At 37.0% G+C, this 26,263-nt stretch overlaps 2 pseudogenes, besides 1 other annotated feature; both read right to left on the bottom strand.

The window, feature by feature from the left end:
* Positions 1–26,263, bottom strand: part of LOC105378800 (endogenous retrovirus group K member 21 Gag polyprotein-like) — a 213,368-nt pseudogene that overhangs the window by 49,148 nt on the left and 137,957 nt on the right.
* Positions 4,999–6,198: an enhancer, noted in NCBI's record as "BRD4-independent group 4 enhancer chr1:73648977-73650176 (GRCh37/hg19 assembly coordinates)". NCBI's record gives its function as "activates an origin of replication core promoter dependent on BRD2, P300/CBP, MED14 and CDK7 cofactors, and independent of BRD4, by STARR-seq in HCT116 cells {active_cell/tissue: HCT116}" and the evidence as "EXISTENCE:reporter gene assay evidence [ECO:0000049][PMID:35650434]".
* RN7SKP19 (RN7SK pseudogene 19) lies at positions 13,309–13,560 on the bottom strand (annotated as a pseudogene).

The raw sequence follows: 26,263 nt of genomic DNA on the forward strand, positions 1-26,263 counted from the left end.
CTGTTCCTAAATCTTTATTAGCATATCAGTTTCCCCACTGGAATGTTAAACATGCCACTTAAGCCTTGGAACTATGGCTTTTTTTTTTTTTTGAGACAGAGTCTTGCTCTGTCGCCCAGGCCGGAGTGCAGTGGCGCATTCTCCACTCACTGCAAGCTCCGCCTCCCGGGTTCACGCCATTCTCCTGCCTCAGCCTCCTGAGTAGCTGGGACTACAGGCGCCCGCCACCACGCCCGGCTAATTTTTTTGTATTTTTTTAGTACAGACAGGGTTTCACCATGTTAGCCAGGATGGTCTCGATTTCCTGACCTCCTGATCTGCTCGCCTGGGCCTCCCAAAGTGCTGGGATTACAGGCATGAGCCACCGCGCCTGGCCGCTATGGCTCTTTTATATTAATTAATCATCATATTTGGATGGATCCCAGAACTGCCCAACTATTTTAAGCATTGTTTCTTTTTGTTTTGAAATCTCTCAGAATGCTCTGGGGTTAGAGAAGCAAGAGAAGTAAAATGAAGGGAGGCTGATAATAGCAGGAATGAAACATTGTGTTTGTTTTCTTAGAAGTATAATTTTACAAGCCTCCTCTCATCTGCTGAAGGAATGTGGGCCCATTATATTTTCAATGTTATACTGTTAAAATATTCTCCTCATTTGATATTCTTCACCACATCAAATTATGCTACATAAAATCGGTGTTAACTTTTAAAGTATTAACATGGGATATTCTGGGACTAAATGTTTCCCTCAAATGTATGTGAATCTTGCTGGCACTCAAGACTCATCCTTCAAGAAATGGATTTGCTCATACAATTAAACATAAGCAATTGAGAGTTAAGCAGATTTCTATTGCCTCTTACCAGCCAAACTCCAGTGGGGGTCATGTAGGAAGAGCCTTAACCTTTAAAAGTGTGGCTTTCTGCCATGCCGGTATTAAAGCATCCATGGTGTGGGGACTGGGCATATACGATAATGAGAATTTAAAATTCCAAACTAAATATACTGAGGAAAATTGTTGCAGACCTAACTAGCCATATGCAGGCTAAACCACTCAGCTTTTAGGAGCACCGTGAGAGCACATACAGTTACTGCAAAGAGGGAGATGGCAGGCTAGAGTGTGAGTGTTAGCAAAAGTTTAAGTGGCATGACTTCATTACTACTGCCATCACCACTCTATTTAGACCCTCATCGACACTGACCCATCATGTTCCTAATGGTCTTGAACATTTGCCCTGCTGCTGCTATTCTACAGTCAATTTCTCTAGTCTCTCTTCTGGTTTCCCTCATATTTTTCAAACTGCTGCCTGGGTGGGTATATTTTCTAACATTTAGAAATATATAATCATATCACTCATTGTTTAAAATTATTTAAAAGCACCCTATATGTTGTATTCAGGTAAACCACCTTAAGAAGGTACCTCCTTTACAGTCAGGCCCTTACGTTCCTATCTATTTTCATCACAAGCTATGATGTGATTTCTTTTATTTATGTTATAGGAAAATTCACATGTTGACTCATATCTGTATACATCATTAGAATAAACAGGATGATTAATCAAGATTCCAATTCTGTATACAGTGTGTAGTCTTCTTATAGTGCCACTCTGCTCTTGCTATTGGAGGTTGGAGAATGAGAATTAACTACAACATTTTTCACCAGATCATTGAATCAAGAGTGAGCTCTTTGTTTTTCCTTACTGTCTTCTTGCTGGGAAAGAAAAAAAAAAAGAAAAAAAAAAGAAATACGAAAATCCCTTTAGAGCGCAACTCTTTTATTTGCTTAATAAAATTATATATAGTAATGATATTTAAAGCACTTTTGTGATCAGCACTTGTTGACCAGGTGAGCATTTTCCAGCATTCTTATGTCTGTATTCTTATGGTGCTTGTATTATTTTAGCTTTTGTTACAGGATCTTTGGGGTGTTACTTTTCTGGCTGAAAACCTCTGTGGCCGGTGGCTCCTTTGCCTGAGTTCTTGTCCTGCATCCAGGAAGAATGAGGTACACAGACAAGTGGAGAGTGAGCAAGATGAACAGGAGTTTATTGAGTGTTAGAACAGTTCAGAGGAGACCCGCAGGGGTAGGTCCTCTGTGCAGGCAAGTCATCCCATCGAGTGTTCAGCTCTCAGCAGAGTAGAGGCCCTGGAGTGGGTGGCTACTCTCTGCAAGCAGGTCCTCCCATCCTCTCTGCAGTTAGCAGAGAGGAGGCCTGGAAAGGGTGGCTACTCTCTGCAGCTGGTAGTCCCAACATCTCTGAAGGTCTCTGAAGCTCTCAGCTGAGAGGGTGGTTCCTCTCTACTGCTGGTCGTTCTGTCATTTACTGCTATCAGCAGAGAGGGTAACTCCTCTCTGCAACTGCTCCTCCCATCATCTCTCCCTCTTCTGCACTGCTGTGGCTGAGCTCAGGGCTTTTATAGACCTCAGAGGGGAGGAACTGTGTGCATGGGCAGCCATGGGAGGGCCTGGAAAGGGCAAAAGATCCCGCTGGGGACCCCTGACTGGCAGTCCAGCCCCCAGCCTTCTGGCCCTCCCTGGCCTGAAGGTGGGGCTTTCCTGGGAACCCGCCCCCTTCTGCCCAGGAGCCTGTCTGCCTCTCACTGCCATCCATGACACCCAGCCTGCTTGAACCAAGGAGCACTTGCAGGCCAGCGTCTAGCCTCCCTCAGACTCCTTCAGCTTCCCCTCTCATGTTCCTTGGGCCCAAATTCTGGAGAGGACTGAGGTTTACGGGGATTGGCGTGTCAGTGCTGCCCTGAGCTTACTCACACCTAGCTGGACTGTGCATCACCTGGGCTCGGCCTCAACCCCGCTCCCAGATCAGAGCAGGCACTGACAGCAGGGAGAAGCCAGGCAGCAGGATAAGGTACTTCTGAGCCTGTGAGGGTCGGGGGGCCTTCGCAGGCCCCCAAGAGTGCAGGGATGCCTGAGTCTTCAGCGGCGGTTTGGATGGCTGCAGCTGTGCCCAAGACAGGGCTCCTGCCTGCTCTGTGGAGCAGGAGGCTTGGGTCTGCGCTGTGGATTGGGCGGCTGCAGCTGCAAACGGGAGGGCAGGGATCCTGCCTGCTCCCGCTCCTGCGACACCCCAAAGGCACGGGGAGGCTCCGATCCGCAGCCATAACTTGGATGGTTGCAGCCCCACCGAGGAGGGCAGGGTCCCTGCCTGCTCCATGGAGCTGGAGATCCAGGTCTACAGCCCTAGTTTGGGCAGCTACAGCAGCACCCAGGGAGCTCCCTTCCCAACACGGAAGGGAGGGGGCTCCTGCAGACTCCATGGAACATGCAGCCATAGCGGGCATCCCTGCTGCAGCTGCGTGATGGCAGCGGCAGGCCATCTGGAGTGGTGACTGCCAAATATCTATCTCCATTAACTGAATTTGATATTGGTTCCAATTTTTTCATTGCTCAAAGTGCAATAATCTATCCACACAATCAAATTAATATATCATGGAATTTCAGAGGTGAAAATGGATTTAAAGATTGTGTAAGGCATCACAATTTTGAGCTACTCTGGATTAAGTAATTCTCCACCCATTACAGTTTATATGAAGTTAGGTAGATCCTCGGCAGGAATTATGTTTTTGTATAGGGATGGATGGGGGTAAAGGAGGAAACAAAGTATTAGACCAGGAATAATAAAATTTCCAAATTCCTTTCAGCTCCAAAATCCTAATCTAACATTCCTTTTATAAATATCAGAAGATATAACCGATGTTCTATGGGTTTAACTACATTACTCAGTTCACACAGCTATATGCTAGAAAGCTTATATTAAGTCTCACTTCCTGAACAAATGTTATTTCCGTCGTATCCTGTATCTCTCCTCAAAAACTAATCATATTAATTTTGTCCACTTTTCCTTGTGCCATTCAAACTTTAATTCCAATCCACTAGGTGTGAAGTTTTAAGCTATTAAAGACATAAGCCATATTCCGGCCCTAGAGTTTAAAGTTAATTACAATTAAGAGGAGTAATGAAAAAATAATAATTATTGAAAACTTAGGAATCCATGAGTGCTGAGATATATGCCACAAGGTGGAATGATTGAAAAAATATATTCCTGGAGAGTCAATTTTAGCTTCAGTTGAAATGGTGAGGCATATGGGTGTGTATGTGTGTGTATTGTGTGTGTGTGTGTATGTGTTTTGATGGAGAAAGGGTTGAAGTCATTTTATGAGAAAAAGTGTTGCTGAAGTTCTTAGAGCTAATGAAGTGTAGTGTTCTGGTACAATGAACGTACCTTGGACATTTTCATCTTTGTTCTACCCATTTTTAAACTGTGTTTTCTAGAATACTGACATTCTACAGACGGTAAATAGTTTAGCAGTAAATAATCAGGGAGAACTTTTAATATCAGATCTTACTCTTTAGAAATTAAAGTCTCATTATATTAAAGGTATTTGCATAAAGAAAATTTAGTTAATGTTATTAAATCCAGTGTCTTCCAAGGTTTAACCAGGAACTCTTTATTAGCAGAACAAATATGAATATTTTGAAGAACTTAGTTTTTTGTTTTTGTTTTGTAGAATACTCTATGAATAACATGCTCCAAATAGTAAAGTATCCTATTCTGAGTCTCTGATTTCTCTAGCCAGGCTTATTCTGTTTGTTAAAGTATTTTGTTTATTGTGTCTATTTGAATATTTTGTCACCCATCTTGTCCAGATAATTCATTCTCAGTCTGTTCTGAGTCAAGTATTCACTAATGGGCTAGGATAGGGCATTGTTTCATTTCCACAAGCTGGGGGCTTTTCGTGCAGTGAAGAAAAAGATCCAGAAAAAGAAATAACAGGTCTTCCTGAGAGAGCAGATTTCAATCAACCACATTCAAGAATGTGAAATATTTGAAGTGTCAAAATATTTCTACATAATTTCAAAGCTGGAAATAAATGGAAAAATAATTATCTGTGTTAGATATGAGTTCTAAATTTCTTTTCAAAGAATCAGTATGTCAGTATGTTCAATTCTTTGCCTTCTACTTTTAAACTTAACTTCCTGAACCAGGGAGGTGGAGCTTGCAGTGAGTGAGATTGCACCACTGCACCCCAGCCTGGGCAACAGAGCAAGACTCTGTCTCAAAACAAAACAAAACAAAACAAAAAAAACTTAACTTCCTCATAAAGCAACCTTTTTCGATTACCTGCTCCACCCTGACTCATTTCAATCACCTGCTCCACCCTGACTCATTTCAATCACCTGCTCCACCCTGACTCATTTCAATCACCTGCTCCACCCTGACTCATTCCCATTACCTGCTCCACCCTGACTCATTCCCTTTACCTGCTCCACCCTGACTCATTCCCATTACCTGCTCCACCCTGACTCATTCCCATTACCTGCTCCACTCTGACTCATTTCAATCACCTGCTCCACCCTGACTCATTTCAATCACCTGCTCCACCCTGACTCATTCCCATTACCTGCTCCACCCTGACTCATTCCCTTTACCTGCTCCACCCTGACTCATTCCCATTACCTGCTCCACCCTGACTTATTCCCATTACCTGCTCCACCATGACTCATTCCCATTACCTGCTCCACCCTGACTAATTCTGATTAGCTGCTCCACCCTGACTCATTCTCATTACCTGCTCCACCCTGAGTCATTCCGATTATCTGCTCTGTCATAACCATTTTTCCCACCAAACCACTCACCCCATCACTCTCTTTAAATTAGTCGGAATTAGTTTAGCCTGTGCAGTCTAACCCTAGCCAACAGGGGAACGACACAGCAGCAGGCGCCACGGGCGTCAGGGATGAGAACCCCTCCCTTGTCCAAGTGTGTGCTCACCATTGCTCCATCTGTAAGGGCGCACCCTTCTATAGAAGTAACTTGCCTTGCTGAGAATTAAAAAAGACAATTTTATATTCGAGTGCTATTTCTTTTGCGGCACCAAAACTTTATTTATAACACCTGGATAATTAAATATTCATTAGCTATAATTTCTTTAAATAGCTAAAAATTTGTAGACTTTTTAAACTTTTTTGGTTTCTTAAACCACTGCCTTCTACAGTTTTTACAAGAGCACCAAACTCAGTCATTATAGAACTATTCTTCACAATGAGATAATGATCCTGTGGTCTTAACTGTCCTAATAATGCATCATGGCCTAATACGTAATAGAGATGTGTTGTTTTGATAATATCCCTTACTAGCAGGCATGATTAGACAGCTCTAGTAGGAGGTATGCTGGAAAATTACTTGTATAATTAATCAGAAGCCAGCCTAGGCCTGAATATTCCTCTGCTTATAGGTTACCCATTGCCTAATTATACCCTCTTTAATTTTAGTGAGTTCAAGCTTCTCCTTTTGTTGCTCAAGGGGGTTATTTGGGAGTGTGTTAACACAGAAACTGTTGCACAGTATTTTAATGAGGTTGTGTGGTGGCTCAGGTAACAAGATGAGGTTATACAATTTATCAAAAGTTTGGTTGAACTGAATAATTTTTAATGTCTAAAATTTATTGAATGTTGTTTAGTTGTAGGGCGATGAATAATCATAACCATGTTCTCATTTTAATGAACATATAAGTATTTGACTATCAAGTAAAAACAATATAATAAAATATATTTCAGCAGTTCCATGATGCGATCACTAATCTAATTTGATATTTATAAAAGTTATGTGAATTAGGCAGTCACATCTTATTGGCCACTTTGCCTAAAATCTGTTAAATTTTACCTTGCTCAATACCACATGACAATAAAGAGAGCTAAAACTAAAATCCACATTAGATATCCTACAAAATACATCAATAAGATAATATGTGATTATAATATCTTCAGTCTTCTTCTAGTCTCATCCCTGTGCCATCACCATCAAGGATCCAATGAATGGTTATTAATGCTATCTTTTCAAGGGGTTCTGTGATGGTTAATTTTAGGTGACAACTTTACCCAGACATTTGATTAAACATTACACTGAATGTGTCTCTGAGGGTGTTTTCTGGATGAGATTAGTATTTGAATTAGTAGACTGAGTGAAGATTGCTCTCCCCAGCATAAAGGAGAATCATTCAATTGGCTGAGGGTCTGAATAGAACAAAATGTGGGATAGGGGACAATTTGCTCTCTCTACTGAATGTTTTTAGTGTGGGACATTGGTCTTTTCCTACCCTTGAGCTAGAACTTACATCATTGGTTCTCCATGCTCTCAGGTCTTTGAACTTGAACTGGAACTACACAATAGACTTTCCCCGGTCTGCAGCTTACAGACAGCAGATAGTGGGCCTTCTCAGCCCCCATAATCACTTAAACTGAATCCTTATCATCTCACTCTCTCTCCTCTTTCTTTCTCTCTTTTTATGGGTTGGTGTGTGTGTTTGTATCTCCTATTGGTTCTGTTTCTCTGGAGAGCGCTGATTAAAACTTTGGTATAGCAAGATTTATAACTGCATCAATACATTTTTTATTGTTCTTTAAAAAAACAGGTAATTGAAGTTTATGTTTTAAAAATAGTCTCAAGAGATGAAGGAAATCACACTTTACTAAAGGAAAAGTTAGAGCCAAAAAATATAACAAATGAAGTTTATTATGCAATTATAAGCAATTATACTGCCATTCAAGCCAGTTATTTCATGAGTTTTGAAAGAGAATGGGAGAGACTAATAGGTTAAAAAGTTTTCTGTGTGCTTGACTTCTTTATTCCTTCTTATAAACTATTATTGTTATTATAATGAAACATTCTGAGAAAGATTGTAAGGCATTTCTTTATAACTGTGTGAAAACAGTAAATTCAAATTTAGTTATAAAATTCTGATTAGCAATACAGAATTTTTGAAAATGTGTATTCAATTTGAAAAATCGAAATATAACACAACATATTAACAAACTGAATGGTTTTATTCTTTAACAGTGAGAATAGACTTGTGAAGAGTGTGACATGACATCAATGGAAAGGCAGAAGTTTTAGATATTGGCAAAAGTATACATACATCTAGCAATGAAAGATTTAGCAACAAAATGCATGAGATTAAAGAATAGAGAAGGGTCTATTTATTGTTATATAAAATACTTTTATCTTTAATAAAAGTTTGGTATGTTAGATTATGAGGTTACATAAAAGATTTGTGAAAATTCAATGTGAATTCAGAACAATTAATATTTGATTTTTAATAATATAATAGGAGTCCTAGACACATCTTATATGGGATCTGGAGAAAGCTTATTCTTACAGAGACTATAAAAGGCTCAGTTAGAATGTCAGCTAGATAATAGAGTGCGAAGAGTTACTGTACATCAGGGATGCATATCTTTTGTGTTAGACACTGTTTAGAATGCCTCAATATTTTCAAAGGTAATATGGGAAAATGATTTTAAGAATGACACAGAAATGCACTGAAAAAAAGTACTAGAATAGTAACTACTGCACAAAGAAGTAAAATTAAAGCTGCCAAAATTCAATACATTTCACCAGTTGAAAAAGTGCCCCTTTAAAAGCTTATTGCTTAATTTTGAAGCAATTGGTATTCCTTATGGAAGTTAAATAAAAAATAAAATTACTAGTTCTGGCATTGCAACTTCACTCAGAAATTCTTGAAGTAGAGTTAAGTAGACATCATTGTTATGGCTATTCTTTTATGTATTCTGAATGGCATGCCAACCATTTCTGATGGAGTTGTTCATCATAAAATAGAGCATATAGACTCACAGATTTGGTAAGTCAAATCCTGTTATAACAATATTGACCAGTCCAGGAGAAAAGAATGGCCTACCTTGATTTATTAAGGAATATGACTGTAGGTTGTAAAACTTTCCCATATTGCTAATATTTTCTACAAATCATTAATGGTCTGTTTATTTTTTCTTTCTCTTCTTTATGCTTCATGTTGGAATTCTATTACTGTGTATTCAAGTTCAGTGGCCTTTACTTCTCCAGTGAATTACCTGCAATTCATTCCATACAGTGTCTTTTAAATTATAGATAATGTATATTTCATTACTGGAAGTTCCATTTGAGTTTTCTTTTCATCTTCCATTTCTCTCTTCATGTTCATATCTTTCATTTTGAACATGTATATCTTTCCTAGTTACATGTCACATTTTTTATATTTCTACATGCTAGTATTTTTATTGAATGTAAAATATTATAAATTTTACAATTTGCTACTGATTTTTAAAAAAATATTTTGCCTTTATTTTGGGACATATTTTATATTCTAAGAATTAGTTTGTTCCTTTAGGGCTTGCTCTTAAGTTTTATTTTTTCGATGGCCCTAGTAGTAGACCTAGTAATCTCACTTCTAAACCAATTCCTTCCTAAAGATTCTAAGCAATTTCCTATGGATCAGGAGGTCTTTCTATTGTAGTGGTAGGAGCATGACTTTTTTTTCTTTCTTTTTTTTTTTGGCTTTAAAATGCTCCAACAAGTGCTCCTCCTTCTCCTTTCTGATTGTTCTTTCTCTGGCTACAGGTATTTTCCTCACACAAGCTGATAAATTCTAAGCAAAAGACTTAAAGGAACCCTTCTGCATATCTCCAGAGCTCTCTCCTTACACAGCTTCTTCCTTTGTTGTATTTTTCCACTAAAGTCTAACCATTGTCCTCTGAGAGCTTTGATCACTGTCTCCTCACTGAAGCAGGACTGCTGATTTCTATTTTAGTTTCTCTTCTCCCTATTGCATCTTGAAAATTATTACTACATACTAAGTAGGACAATCATCCACCTCATCTGCTTTCCTTCTTTTAGGTGTCATTGTCCTGAAATGCCTCTTTTCTTGTGTCTAAAAACTGTCTTGCATATTGTGACTGATTTTATAGCAGTTAATATGGGAGGGTAAATTCTGCTCCTGCCATTTCTTTGTGGCCAGAAATGGAAGTTCTTTACCCTCAGATTTTGATGATAAATGTACTTAAATTTTGCCATCGAATGCCTTACAGAGTGTTGAAGTTAATAGGCAAGTGAAGGAATAGAGTAGCTTTTAGTTTAGGCCTGGGGTTATCACCACTCTAAAACATAAATATGAGTTGAATTTCTAGATCAAAACACGGGCTGGTTAGGTGAGATGGCTGGCAAGCCTGTGGGTATCAGATAAATACTATGGATAAAGGATAAGTAAAGACAAACATTATTGTGTGAAACCCAGAGAATCACATCTATTACTTGAGGACATCTATATGTAGAGTTTAATTTAGTCCATTATTGACTCTGGGTCTAAGAAGTCTATTTGGATTTTTTAGATAAATATTACATCTGTGTAGATCCACCTCAAATTTACTTTGAGTGTATATCTTCTACTCTTATGAAATCATAATATTTCAAATGTGGATTTTGTTCTTTCCTACAGACACCAACTACTCAAACTAAGCATATGATAATATAATTTATTTAAGAACATTAATAATGATTGAGAAAATGATATAACCAACATTTCTCTTTGGGTCCATAATTGTTCCTGTACATTATATAAATAACATTCATATTGATGTTGTGCAGCAGGCAGTTCCTTTATGTGTATTTACAAGCATTCATTCAACACATACTTATTCAGTGCCTGTGTGCCAGATAACTCTTGAGGTAGTAAAAATACAGTGAAGAAAAAAGAAGACAAAAATCTCTGCCCTATGGCGTTTTAGGAAAATCAGACTATAATAAACAAATGATAAAATAGGGAAAATAGGGTATGGCAGAGACTTCTATTTATAACAATAATGAAGTAAGTGGAAATGGATTTATCCTTTTCATGTAAATACTTTTAAGAAAATATAGAAACCAAGAAAGATGTGACTGTGATTATTCAGAGAAAAAATAAATCAATTTAAAATAAATAAATAAATAAAATGACTTTCTACCTGGAAACATTTTACAAATCTCAGTAAAGGTTTAGGTTTCCACGCAGAGCTTGTTGGTCTGGCTAAGGTGACAAGACAGAGCTCTAAGTTCAGGGAAGTGGAGGTGGTTTCACTTTGTAAGACAGACTACCTAGAAGAATAGAGTAATATGGAGAAAAAGCTGCAGAATTCTGCACAGGGGCCTCCCTCTAACTGTTACATGCCTCCCTCTCTGTTACTGAATTCTAGGCAATACATGTATAGGTAGAAACATCATAAGGATAGGGAGAAAATAACTGGGGATATGTGAGATAAAAGTTCCCAGAGAGAACACAGGGTTGAAAGAAGTTTGCGTTTCAACAATTAAGAGTGGGAAACTCTTACAAAAAATAAGAGATGTTTTTAAAATCCCAAATGATATTTCTAAAAGTAAAAAAGTACAATATGTAAAAAGAATTCACTGAGTTGGCTTAATAACAAATATAAAATATTGCTGAATATAAGGATCATAATAGCTAAAGTCAAAGCTATAAGAACTATCCACATTGAAAAAAAGATTGAGAAAACACACACACACATACACACACTCCCAGAACTTTAGTGAAAACATGGGACAATATTGTTTCATAATAGCTTATTTTTTTGTTTGTTGAAAACTATAAATTCCCAGATTTAAACAGTTCAGCAAACCTCTGAAAGCATAAAGAAAAGACACTAGTCCTAGGCAGATTATACTCAATTGATGAAAACAAGGTAAAAACAGAAAAATTTAATGGCAAAACAAATAAAGGATATTTTATGTACAGACAAATAGGAAAAAATAGCATAGTTATCATGACAAACTATGCAAGCAGAAAATGGGGCATTTTAAAAAATGAAAATAGAAAAAGTTTGTCAATCTAGAATTTTACAACTAGAGAAGATGGTGTTCAGACATTAATGTAAAATAAAGACATTTTCAGAAAAACAAATGGAAGAGAAAACCATTACCAGTAACTTATACTATGAGAAAACTTAAAGCACATTCTTTAATCAGGATACCAGGTGAAAATTTGAATCTAGACAAATAGAAAAGGACCACCAAAAGAAGGTAAATATATGGATATAGAGAAAATACATTTTCTACTAAAGAAAACAATTATTCTTCTAAATGAACACTAATAAAAAATTTATTATAAATCTATTTTAATGCCAGCTTAGTTTATTTTATATATATATTTAAATGTGTGACACAAATAGCACAAAGGATAGGAGGGAGGATGTTGAAAGATACTACTCTTAATTGTCCAAGATTGTCTTAGTCTATTCAGGCTGCTATAACAGAATACCATAGACTGGGTGGTTTACAAACAACAAAAATTTATTTCTCATAGTTCTGAAGACTAGGAATTTCAAGATCAAGATACCAACAGATTTAGTGTCTGGATGGGGCCTGCTTTTTGGTTCAGAAATGACTGTCTTTTTGCTATGTCCTCACATGGGAGAAGGGGTACACTCATAAGGGTACTAATCCCATTGGTGAAGTCCCCTCTCATGGCTGAATTACCTCCCAGAGGCTTCACCACCTAATTCCATCACCTTAGATGTTAGGACTTCAGCATATACATTTTGGGGAGACACAAGCACTCGGAACATAATATTCCACCCCAGGCCTTCAAAAATTCATGTCCTTCTCACATGCCAAATGCATTGATTTCACACTGCATTAGTCCATTTTCCCACTGCTGATAAAGGCATATCTGAGACTGAGTAACTTACAAAGAAAAAAGAGGTTTAATAGACTCACAGTTCCACGTGGCTGGGAAGGCGTCACAATCGTGGCGCAGGGCGAAAGGCAGGTCTCACATAGCCGCAGGCAAGAGATAATGAGAGCCAAGCACAAGGGGTTTTCCCTTATAAAACCATCAGATTTCATGATACTTATTCACTACCATGAGAACAGTATGGGAGGAACCACCCCCATGATTCAATTATCTCCCATGGGATCCCTCCAACAACACATGGGAATTATGAGAGCTACAATTCAAGACGAGATTTCAGTGGAGACAGAGGCAAACCATATCACACACCAAGAGGTCCAAAAGTTCTAAGATGAGGATATGTTAAGATTTCTGCCTGGTACCTCCTCATATCACCCTTTTGCTGTACTTGTCAGCTGTCTCAGATATGGCTCCTATAGGCCCAGATGCTGTGTGTACTGTATCTAGCGTAGCTGTGAGGGCATGGCTTCCTTCACCTAGATTTCAAATGATGCCACAGACAGCCATGGCTAGGCTTGGGGCCCTAACACAGAACCCCACAGAACAATGCTTAATGGAGTCATGCAGGGAGTGTCACAACTGAGACCCTAGACTGGTAGAGCCACCTGTATCCACTTCCAGCCAGGAAGGGCAGCAGGCACATGCCCAATCTGTGTGAGCTAGAATGTGAGTGCAGGGACACCTGGAGCCTTGTGGCCCAATCCATGCACGGAAAGGCTGTAGGAGTTGTACCCACACCTTAGTGGTTCTGGAAGGCAGGACAGCATTTCCAGTAGCCCTAGAAAATAGAGCATTGAGCCACAGATTGGTTTTAGACTTGCTCAGAAACTGTCACTACTTTCTCCTTTCTTTTTTCCTATTTCTCCCTTTTGAGAGCTTGTTTGGAGGTTCTAGCAGGGGAGCACAGTTACTCATATGCTCTTGACTGAAGAAAGTCCTCCTCTATTGGGGAGGCCATTCTCATCAACTGAGCACATGGAGCAGTGAAGAAGAAAGGGGAAACACGCCCAGCTACCCAGATCACCCTCACATCCCTATTTTTCTGTTTGAGAATGGCAATGTCTATCATAAGCCTGTCCCCCCACTGAATTTTGGAAGCACATGAAGTTTCATTTTACAGATTCACAGCTCGAGAGCAATTTGCTTTAGGATAAAACATACTTTGAATCTCACTCATATCTGAATTAGATATTTAAATGAGATGGGACTTTAGACGTTTAAGTTGATGCTGGAATTGGTTAAAACTTTTAGGGCTATTGGGATGGAATGATGTATTTTTTATGTGAGAAAGGTAGAAACCTCATGAATGGGATTAGTGCACTTATAAAATAGGCCCAAGGGAGATCATTGACCCCTCCCACTATGGGATGCAATGAGAATGCACCATCTATTAACCAGAAAAAAGGCCTTCACCAGAACCTATATTTCCCAGAGCCTTGATCTTGGGCTTTCCAGCCTTCAGACCTGTGAGAAACAAATTTCTGTTGCTCATAAGCTACTCTGTTTATGGTGCTTTGTTAAGGCAGGCTACCAGACTAGGTCAGTGTTCCTAATATTCATAAGAGACTTCATCAGAATAGGTTCTACCATCCATATTTCTACCAACATTTGGTTTATCATGATTTAAGTATTGTTTAAGAAGATGCTTTGTGTCCAGCCGTGTTCTTTTCTTTTCTTTCTGAACTCTTATCAGAATCACCTTTAAAAGTCCCTTCACAGAAATATTGGCTTTGTCTAACATGTACTTCAAAACTCTTTCAGCCTCTACCCATTATACAGTTCTGAATATTCTTCCACATCTTTAGGTATTTGTTATGGTAATACCTCATTTCTTGGAACCAATTTTTGTCTTAATCAGTTCAGGCTACTATAGGAAGGATATCATAGTCTGGGTAACTTAGAAACAACATAAATTTATTTTTCACTGTTCTGAACATTCATAAATCCAGGATCAAGGTGCTGGCAGATTAGTGTCCAATGAGAGCCTTCTTGCTGGTTCATAAACAACTCTCTTTTCACTGTGTCCTCACATGGAAGAAGGGTTAAGGGAATTCCCTTAGTGTCTTTCATAAGGGCACTATTCCACTCATTAGGGCTCCATCTCCAGGACCTAAATACTTACCAAGGCCCTACCTTCCTAACCTTAGTGGTTAGGATTTCAACAAATGAATTTTGGGAGAGACACCAAGTGGTTAGGATTTCAACAGGTGCATTTTGGAGAGACATAAACATTTAGTCTATAACAAAGACCTATGTAAACTTGTTTAAATTGTGATAGGTTAAAGGTGCACATTTAAAATAAGATAAATATTGTGAAGCTTGTGTATAATAAGATAAATACTCTGTAGATAAAAGTAAAACTTTGTATTTTTTGTTGACATAATTATGTGATTAAAAAACAAAAATATCTATTCAAAAAATTGTTACTGATAAATGAATTTTGTAATACAATATTATACAAGATGAGTAAAAAAAATCTATTGTATTTTTATACATCAGCAATGATTAATGGGAAGAGAAAGTTTAGATTTGTCATTTGAAATAGCATCAAAACAGGTAAAGACTTACCTAAATATTTGACTCAATGTGTGCAAAGCCTATATTCTGAAAAGTATAAAATATGGCTTTGAGAAATTAAAGAAGTTTCAAATAAATGGGAAACCCCACCGTGTTACTGGATTGGACAACTAAACATTTTAGTGTTACCATTCTTTCCACATTGATTTAAAGATAAAGAGCAATCCTTTTAATGAAATAAGTTCTTTTGAATAAAATAATTTTCAACCCAGAATTTCATATCCAGCCAAACTAAGCTTTGTAAGTGAAGGAGAAATAAAATACTTTACAGACAAGCAAATGCTGAGAGATTTTGTCACCACCAGGCCTGCCCTAAAAGAGCTCCTGAAGGAAGCACTAAACATGGAAAGGCACAACCGGTACCAGCCGCTGCAAAATCATGCCAAAATGTAAAGACCATCGAGATTAGGAAGAAACTGCATCAACTAACGAGCAAAATAACCAGCTAACATCATAATGACAGGATCAAATTCACACATAACAATATTAACTTTAAATGTAAATGGACTAAATGCTCCAGTTAAAAGACACAGACTGGCAAATTGGATAAAGAGTCAAGACCCATCAGTGTGCTGTATTCAGGAAACCCATCTCACGTGCAGAGACACACATAGGCTCAAAATAAAAGGATGGAGGAAGATCTACCAAGCAAATGGAAAACAAAAAAAGGCAGGGGTTGCAATCCTAGTCTCTGATAAAACAGACTTTAAACCAACAAAGATCAAAAGAGACAAAGAAGGCCATTACATAATGGTAAAGGGATCAATTCAACAAGAAGAGCTAACTATCCTAAATATATATGCACCCAATACAGGAGCACCCAGATTCATAAAGCAAGTCCTGAGTGACCTACAAAGAGACTTAGACTCCCACACAATAATAATGGGAGACTTTAACACCCCACTGTCAACATTAGACAGATCAACGAGACAGAAAGTTAACGAGGATACCCAGGAATTGAACTCAGCTCTGCACCAAGTGGACCTAATAGACATCTACAGAACTCTCCACCCCAAATCAACAGAATATACATTTTTTTCAGCACCACACCACACCTATTCCAAAATTGACCACATAGTTGGAAGTAAAGCACTCCTCAGCAAATGTAAAAGAACAGGAATTATAACAAACTGTCTCTCAGACCACAGTGCAATCAAACTAGAACTCAGGATTAAGAATCTCACTCAAAACCGCTCAACTACATGGAAACTGAACAACCTGCTCCTGAATGACTACTGGGTACATAATGAAATGAAGGCAGAAATAAAGATGTTCTTTGAAACCAACGAGAACAAAGACACAACATACCAGAATCTCTGGGATGCATTCAAAGCAGTGTGTAGAGGGAAATTTATAGCACTAAATGCCCACAAGAGAAAGCAGGAAAGATCCAAAATTGACACCCTAACATCACAATTAAAAGAACTAGAAAAGCAAGAGCAAACACATTCAAAAGCTAGCAGAAGGCAAGAAATAACTAAAATCAGAGCAGAACTGAAGGGAATAGAGACACAAAAAACCCTTCAAAAAATTAATGAATCCAGGAGCTGGTTTTTTGAAAGGATCAACAAAATTGATAGACCGCTAGCAAGACTAATAAAGAAAAAAATTGTTAACTTGTCTCTAAAACTTACATGCTATATTTGTCATCTATTGCTGTATAAGAAATTACCACAAACTTACCAGCTTAAAACATTGCACATTTATTTTCTCATAAATTGTGTGTCAGGAATAAAGGTTACTGCTTAGCTTTTCCTCTGACTCAGCATATCTCTGGATTCAATCAAGGTGCCAGCCAGGGCTGCCATCTCATCTGAATATTCACCAAGGAAAAGATGTATTTTTAGTATTACTTATGAGGTTGTTGGTAGAATTCATTTCCTTTGTGGGCTATTGAAACAAGTGCCTCAGTTCCTAGCTGGTTGTTGGCTAAAGGCCATCCTCAATTCCCTGCCACAGAGCCTCCCTCACAAGACAACTTGTTTCATAAAAATGTGCAAGAAAAAGAAGTTGCTAGCAAGACTATTCATTCTTTTGTAATTAATGATTATAACATCTTCATTTCAATTAGAGTGCGTGTGGTTTTTTTTTTTGTTTGTTTTGTTTTTTTTTAAACATAGTCTCGCTCTGTCACCCAGGCTGGAGGGCAGTGGCGCAATCTCTGCTCACTGCAAGTTCCGCCTCCCAGGTTCATGCCATTCTCCCTCCTCAGCCTCCTGAGTAGCTGTTATTATAGGCGTGCGCCACCACACCCAGCTAAGTTTTTGTATTTTTAGTAGAGATGGGGTTTCACTGTGACTGTGTTAGCCAGGATGGTCTCGATCTCCTGACTTCGTGATCTGCCCGCCTCGGCCTCCCAAAGTGATGGGATTACAAGAGTGAGCCACTGCGCCCAGCCTAGAGTGTGTGTTTTTCGCAGGGCTATGAATCCCAGGAGGTGAAGATCATAGCAGAGCATCTTAGTATCTACCTACCATAAATGGAAATGCAAAGGACCAGGAATCACCAACATTATTGTTTGAAAAGATAAATGGCCAGATGCAGTGGATCACGCTTGTGATCCCAGCACTTTGGGAGGCTGAGGCAGGCGGATCACCTGAGGTCAGGAGTTTGAGACCAGCCTGGCCAACATGGTGAAATCTTGTCTCTATTGAAATACAAAATTAGCCAGGCATGGTAGCACATGCCTGTAATCCCAGCTACTCCAGAGGTTGAAGGAGAATATCTTGAACTCAGGAGGCGAAGGTTGCCATGAGCAGAGATCGCGCCAGTGCACTCCCGGCTGAGCAACAAAGTGAGACTCCATCATCTCAAAAAAAAAAAAAAAAAAAAAAAGACAAAGAACACTATCATTTTTCCACTAGCTGATTTCAGGATTTAGTACTCATCTGGAGTGGTCAAGATAATATGATATAGGCAAATAGATAGTCATATACGTCAGTGAAAGAGATTAGAGAGTACAGAAATAAACTCACAACATAAGTGGCCAATTTTATTTCACCAAAGGAATCAAACTAACTTAATTGAGAAATGATTGTCTTTTTAACAAATAGTCCTGGAGTAACTGAATACACATATGTTGTCAAAATAAAAATGCAGCCTATTGTGGCTCATGCCTGTAATCCCAGCGCTTCGGGAAGCTGAGGCAGGAGGATGGCTAGAGCTCAGGGGTTTGAGACTAGCCTGGGCAACATAGTGAAAGCCTGTCTCTACAAAACTTACAAAAATTAGCCACATATAGTGTCATGCACTTGTAGTCCCAGCTACTTGGGAGGCTGAGGTGGTAAGATCACTTGAGCCCAGGAAGCAGCAGTTGTAGTGAGCCATGATTGCGTGACTGCACTCCAACCAGAGTGACAGAGTGACACCATGTCTCAACAACAGCAACAACAACAAAAAAGCATTAAAGAAAAAAATGTAAAAACCCCAAATTACAAAATTCTCAGAAAAATAAAAAAACTCAAGGGAAAAAAATTGTGACCTTTGCATAGGCCAACTAAATGGGCCCATTTAGTCCCATTCCTAAATGGGACTCAAAAGGCACAAGTCATAAAAATTTTTTAAAAATTGTTTAAACTTCGACTAATTAATAGACACTATTATGAAAATGAAAAAGACATAAACTTGAAGAAAATATATATCTGACTTTTATTAAGATGATAAAAGTCTCCAATATCTCAATGATAAGAAAATAGCAGAAAACTACAAAGTGGGTAAATATTTGGATAGGCAACTCATGAAAGAAGATAAGTAATCAGATTTAACATGTCAAACATGCTCAATATTTTTAGCTATTAGAGAAACGCAAATCAAAACCACAGAGATATCATACACATCCACTAAAGAGGCTAAAACAAAAGAGTCTGGCAAAATCAATTGTTGATAGGGACTTGGGGCAACTGGGATATTAATATGTTGCAATGGGGAATAAAAAATGGTACAACCACTTTAGAAAACATTTTGCTGCTTTTTAAAAAGTTAATTTACCATGAGACACAGAAATTCCACCCTAATTATCAAAAGCAAACATATTTAAAAAAATTTGTACCTAGATACTTGTAGCAGCTTCATTCATAATATCCCCACATTCAACTTAAAGCAAATGTCCATCAAGGGCAAAATAAGTAAAATTATGATATATACATATATCCATATATTGAAAGGCTAATTAACACTTTAAACCCAATTATTACACACAACACTAATAAATATAAAAACCTTATATTTAGCCAAAGAAAACAGAAAGAAAACTTTGTAGACTATATGATTCCCTTTATATGAAAACCTAGAAATGCAAATATCAGATGAGTGGTTGCTGAGGGCCAAGAATTTGGGGGCTTTTGACTGCAGTGAGGCATAAGGGGACATTTTATGTTATTGAAACATTCTGTATCTTGATTTTGCTGATGCATATAGGTGTGTATATTTGTCAAAACTCATAGGACTCACAACATAATACGGGTATATTTTATTAGGTAAGTTATCAATAAGGTTAATTAAATTATAAAAATAGATGCCAAAAAGTGATTTGAAAAAAAAAATAGGAAGGTAAGGAACTCTCTAAAATGGGGACTTCCATAAAATATAGTGGTCAGTGAAGACTTCATCTTCATTGACACTTGAGCAATTTGTTAAATGAAGACAGTCAATGAGGCGGAAGAACATTTTAGGTCAAGGGAACAATAATTGTAAAGTCCATTAGCTGGGAGTACACATGATATATCTGAAAAACAGCTAGAAGGTTATATTCTGGCCAGTAGTTAGTAAGAGAATAGTAATTAGAGATGTTGTTAGAGCAGTAAAGTCAGAAGTAGGAGAGAGGTGAAAAATCTTCAGAATCCTTGTAGGCTATTTTAAGGATTCAGTAGTTTTGAGCAGAGTGATGACACTATTTGATATATTTTAAATAGATAACTCTAGCTGTTGTATGGAATATTAATGTGAGGAAAGGAAATGGAACATGCAAGCAAACAATTCAAAAAGCTATAGCTAGATTCTAAAAATATTTATATTACCTTTATATTTTCAACAGGATTTTCTGACAGACTGGATGTTGGATTTGAGAGAAATTAAGGAATTTTAGATGACTCCAAGCATGCTGGATGAATAAAGAGAAGAATAAAACATTGCTTATGAAAGTAAATAAAACTACAGAAGATTCAAGGTTTTACTATCAGGGATACAAAATTTCAGTATTGAGTATGCTAAGTTTAAAGTACTTATTATTCATCTATCTCTAGAATGGTCAATAGGTAATTGAAAATATATGACTAGTGTTCATCGAGATATACATTTATAAGGTATCAATTAATACATAAAATTTAAATTATGAAATGTTTGAGATTACTAAGAGAGTAAGTGTGAATGAAGAAAGTAAAATGCCCAATGACTGGATTTTGGATCATACCAAAGTAAAAAATGTCAATGAGAGTATGACGTTAAGCAGATGGCAGAACAGAAACCTCTTTTCTGTGAGTGAGACGTGAGACGCCTAATAATTAACAATAATACAAAGACCAACCTCCTTTGTGAGAAATCCATAAACCAATTAATAAGTTCCTTTATCCCAGGCAAACAGAAAAACAGCTGCATCAAAGCTGGCAGGAAATTTGTGGGGCCCACTCCATAGAGCTGCTTCCCATGGAACAACAAGGTACAATAGGGAAGAAATTTCCAACTCCAGCCTTCTCCCTGGGAAGGAAAAGACTTGACTGTACTTCCAACATTCTGACTTTTCAGAGGAATAAACAAGTGATGGATTTCTGTATTGTCTGAAGCTAGAGGCTGCTGAGAAAGAAAAAAAAGCCACAGTTTTGAATATAGGCGTGCATCTGTGAGAGCCCCTCCTCCTGATACAGCACTGAGTGAGTGGGAAGCCAAAGAATTCCAGTTTCTCCATGGGTGGAGAGTGGTGGGGGGAGAGTTGGAACATGCATCCAGTGTTTTAGCTTTTCCAGGGGCATCAAAGGAATTTGTTGCTATCTGGCCTGTCTTGGAGTGCTAATGGCACCTAATATACTCTACATGCTTGGGAGTTGCTGAGGACAAAAAAGAAGTAGCCGTTGCTGCTCCAGAGAACCTGTAATACTGCTGCAAATAAAAACCTGAGAACACAATAGCTTATGAGCTCCTGAAAAGAGAAACCAGTAAAGGAAACCTCTGTAGTTGGGCATTCACATGCACAAACCTGAGAAGATGTATCCCCAGAAAATAGTTGAGACATTTCCATAATCTATACCCAGGCTGATTTTCAAAGATATTTTCCTGTATGAAGCTAGGCTGTAAAGTCTAGGTAGGAGAGGTTGCTGTTTTATTCAAATGTGGAGATAACAACATAAAGTTATAAGACACGTAGAAACAGGAAATCATGGCACAATCAGAGGAACAAACTAAATCTCCAGCAAATGTCTATAAAGAAATGGAGGTCTACAAGTTACCTAACAAATAATTCAAATTTATTTTCATAAGATGCTCAATTGGCTTAGGAAAATGATATATGAATAAAATTAAAATTTCAACAAATAGAAAACATTAAAAATGTAAAAGAACCAAACAGATTTTAGCTTGGAATAATATAAAAGCTGAATTGAAATTTAGTGAAATTTCAGCAGTAGACTTAACAGAAGAAAGAAATGGCAAATTCAAAGACAGGTTATTTAAAATTATCCAGTCAGAGAAGCAAAAAGAAAAATGAATGAAGAAGAATGGGACATCATGAAGCATAGCAATGTGCACATTATAGCATCCCAGAAAATAAAGAGAAAGATAAAAGGATAGAAAGCATATTTACAGAAATAGTGGCCACACATTTCCCAAATCTGGGAAAGAAAACGGACATCCAGATTCAAGACCAGTAGATGCTAAATAGAATGAACTACACTGAGCCATATTATAATCAAACTGTCAAAATTCAAAGACAGTATTTTGAAAGTAGCAAAACAGGAGAGAATCATCATCTACAAAGGAACTCTTGTTCGTAAAATCTCAATCAGCAAAATTGTCAGTAAAAATCTTGCAGGACAGAATGAAGTGGAATTATGAAATTTCATTTACATTGAAAAGAGAAAAAAATCAGCCAAGCAAGAATATTATATCTGGAAAAACTGTCCTTCAAAAATGAAGGAGAAATAAAAACCCTCCCAGATAAAAAAAAAGCTGGGAGAATTTATTACCACATATCTGGCTTACAATTAGCTAAAAGTCACCTTTCAAGTCAAAAAGAAAGGACAGTAGATAGCAACATGAAGGCACAGGTAAGTATAAGAGTACCTATAAGCTTTCTGATAAAGGTAAATATGTAGACAAATAAAGTATACTGTAATATTGTAATGGTAGTGTGTAAATCATTTTGAATTTTGGTATAGAATTTAAAAAGCAAAAAGACTAAAAATAGTTTAAACTGTATAATATATAAATGGATAAATAATATAAAAAGATATAATTTGTGACATCAATAATATAAATAGTGGACTGTGGAAGTAATTGAGTACAATATTTGTATGCGATTAAAGCTAAGTTGACATCGGTGTAAAATAGATTGCTGTTTTATGAAAGTGTCATGGTAACCACAGGAAAAAAAAAAAACCTGCAAAAGATATACACAGCTGGGCATGGTGGCACATACCTGTAATCCCAGAAGTTGGGAGAACAAGGCAGGAAGATTGCTTGAGCCCAGGAGTTCAAGACCAGCCTGAGCAACATAGAGAGCTACAAAAAGTACAAAAATCAGCTGGATGTGGTGGCGCATACCTGTAAGTCCCAGCTACAATGCTACTTGGGAAGCTGAGACAGGAGGATCACTTGAGCCCAGGAGGCTGCAGTGAGCTGTGTTCACACCACTGTACTTCAACTTGAGCAATGGAGTGAGACCCTGCCTCAAAAAAAATATATATGGTATATATATAACGGTATATATAAAATATATATATATGGTATATATATAATGGTATATATAAAATTTATATGGTATATATAATGGTATATATAAAATATATATGGTATATATAATGGTATATATAAAATATATATGGTATATATAATGGTATATATAAAATATATATGGTATATATAATGGTATATATAAAATATATATGGTATATATAATGGTATATATAAAATATATATGGTATATATATACACACTATATATAGTGTGTATATATAGTATATATAGTGTGTATATATAGTGCATATATACCATATATATTATATATACCATTATTTATATACCATATATATTTTATATATATCATTATATATATACCATATATATATATATTTTGAGGCAGAGTCTCACTCCATTGCCCAGGTTGAAGTACAGTAGTGTGAACACAGCTCACTATATACCAAAGAAAATTAAAGAAAAATCAAAACATATTACCAGAAAGAAAAAAAATATGAATGAAACACAAAGGAAACAGTAGGAGAGGAAAAGATGGGCAAAAAATTATCAGATAGATAAAATTAATTAACAAAACAGCAAGACATTTGCTATTAATAATTACTTTAAATATAAACAAACTCCCCAATCAAAAGTCATAGTGACTGAGTGGATATAAAACAAGACCCAACTCTATGTGGTCTGTAAGAGACTCCTTTTAAATTTAAAGACATAAAGGATCTGAAAGTGACTAGATTAAAAAAGACATTCCATGCAAATGCTAACAAAAGGAAAGCAGGAAAGATCATACTTATTGTAGGAGATCGATCAGGGTGGTGGAAGATTTGTAAGAAAAGTTACAGGGAAAGACACAAACCTTCTTGGAAGGCCGGGAGGTTTTGCAAAGTTTAAGGAGAGAATAAAGGCTGAAGGCAGCTAATTCTCTTACCCTGAGGTAGAGGGCGAAAAGTAGGTGCAAGGGAATGCAGGGGAATTTATATAGATAAGTTTATTTATTTTATTTTCCGGAAACCAACCTTTGATCATCCACGCACAAGACTGCTCCCTGCAAGGGGGGACAACAATGTTAATTATCTACAAGTTGTGTTAGGTCCAGGCCTTTGTCATTAAATCTGTGCTGAATAAATATAAGCAGCTCTGGCTTATCGAGATTGCTAACTGTCTTCGGCCCCTGGTGCTGGTAGTCCCCTAGCCCATCCTTTCACTGGATACCTGTGTCTAAGTACTCCTTTCATCTGTCACTCGGCCAGGGTCTGCGGGACAGACTTGACAACTTACATCGGAAAAAAATAGTTGAAAAATCAAAAATTTTCACAAAAGACAAAGAAGGACATTAATGATAAAAAAAAATTCACCAGGAAGATATAATTATAAAGATATTATGCACACATACACGTGCACACACACATACACATGCACATATTACATGTATATATTCAGACACCAAAATATAAAAGCAAATATTGGCAGAACTGAAGTGAGAAATAGGTAGAAATACAAAAAGAGTTTGAAATTTTGTTATCCTACTTTAATTATGGATAGAACCACCAGAAAATAAAGAGAGCATTTGAATAACACTATAGACCAACTGAACCTAATAGACATATCCAGAACTTCCACCAAACAGCAGCAGAATTCATTGTTTTTTCCTCAAACTGATATTAAAATTTCTCCAGGAAAGATCACGTTAGGTCACAAAACCAGTCTTACAAATTTAAGATGATTGAAATCATATTAAATATCTTTTCCAAGCACAATGGAATGAAATTAGAAATTAATACCAGGAGAAAACTGGAAAATTAACAAACGTAAATATTAAACAACATACGTGTGTGTGTGTGTGTGAGAGAGAGAGAGAAAGAGAGCGAGAGAGAAGGTCTCACTCTGTCAACAGGCTGGAGTGCAGTGGCACAATTTTGGCCCACTGTAACCGCTATCTCCCAGGCTTCAACCTCAGCCTCCTACTAAGGAGGAGCTGGGACCACAGATGCAGGCCACCATGGCCGTCTAATTTTTGTATTTTTAGTAGAGATGGAGTTTCACTATGTTGTCCAGGCTGGTCTGGAACTCCTGAGCTCAAGTGATCTGCCCACCTTGGCCCACCAAGTGCTGGGATTACCAGCATGAGCCTCTGTGCCCAGCCAGCTAAACAACATACTTTTAAACAGTATGTGGTTTAACTACCAATAAATTACTAGAGACTTAGACAACATCTTGAGACAAACACAAAAGTACAGTATACAAAACTTTATATAATTTAGCAACATTAGCAGCAAGAAGGAAATAATAAAGATTAGAGCAGAAATAAAATAGATAATATAAAAACAGAACAAAATCAATAAATGTAAAGGTTGTTTTTTGAAAAAATTAATTAACAAAATTGACAAATCTTTAGCTAGACTACCTAAGAATGAGAGGACTCAAGCAAAAGCAACATTAGCAATGTTGGACATTTTTACCACCATAATAAAAATGCCAGTAAAATGAGAATAAAAAAAAAAGGAGAATCAGTAGAGTACGGAGGAAAAGAAGTGTGTGATATTCATGAAAAATAAATAATATATATATATTAATAGTCAAATACTGATCTAGTTACTTACAGGAGGATTCATTCAGTTTAGCAACATGTAGGTCATTGGTAAATTTCAAAAGAACATTTACATAGAATGTGAGGACAAACCTAATATGAAGATGATTAAAAAAAATAAACTGTGGCAGAAATGTAAAAATGTGTTACTATTAGAGTGAAAATAGCAATTAGGATAGAAAGAAGCGTTTGTCATTGAGGGAGTATTATGAAAGGCTTCTGAAAGTCAGGCAAGGTTCTATTTCCTGACTTGTATAGTAGTTATAAGCTGGTTTGTGCTAAAATTATTTAAGATACGTATTAGTTTAATGATTTTATTTATGTTAAATTTAGTAACTTCTAAATTTAAAGCTTTACAAAAGAATGATGGAAAAAAGCAGGACAACCAATTTTTCTGTATATGCACGCTGAGAAATAGGGTAGTAGGTTAGAGAAAACTATAGAATCAAGAACATTTTATATTTTTTAATGGATAATACAGGATATGTTTATATTCTAATAAAAATGATCCAACTGGGAGTGAAAACTGGTGATTCAAATTAAGTGGGAGAATTGCTGGTGAAATATTCTTTAAAAATACATCAGAAGATGGCATCTAGTACACATGGATCTAGTACACATAGATCTAGTACACATGTGCTTTAGTTAACATCAAGGACAGTTTATCTATAATA

The sequence above is a fragment of the Homo sapiens genome, chromosome 1 (genome assembly GCF_000001405.40).
Source record: "Homo sapiens chromosome 1, GRCh38.p14 Primary Assembly".
In the NCBI taxonomy this organism is placed as follows: domain Eukaryota; kingdom Metazoa; phylum Chordata; class Mammalia; order Primates; family Hominidae; genus Homo; species Homo sapiens.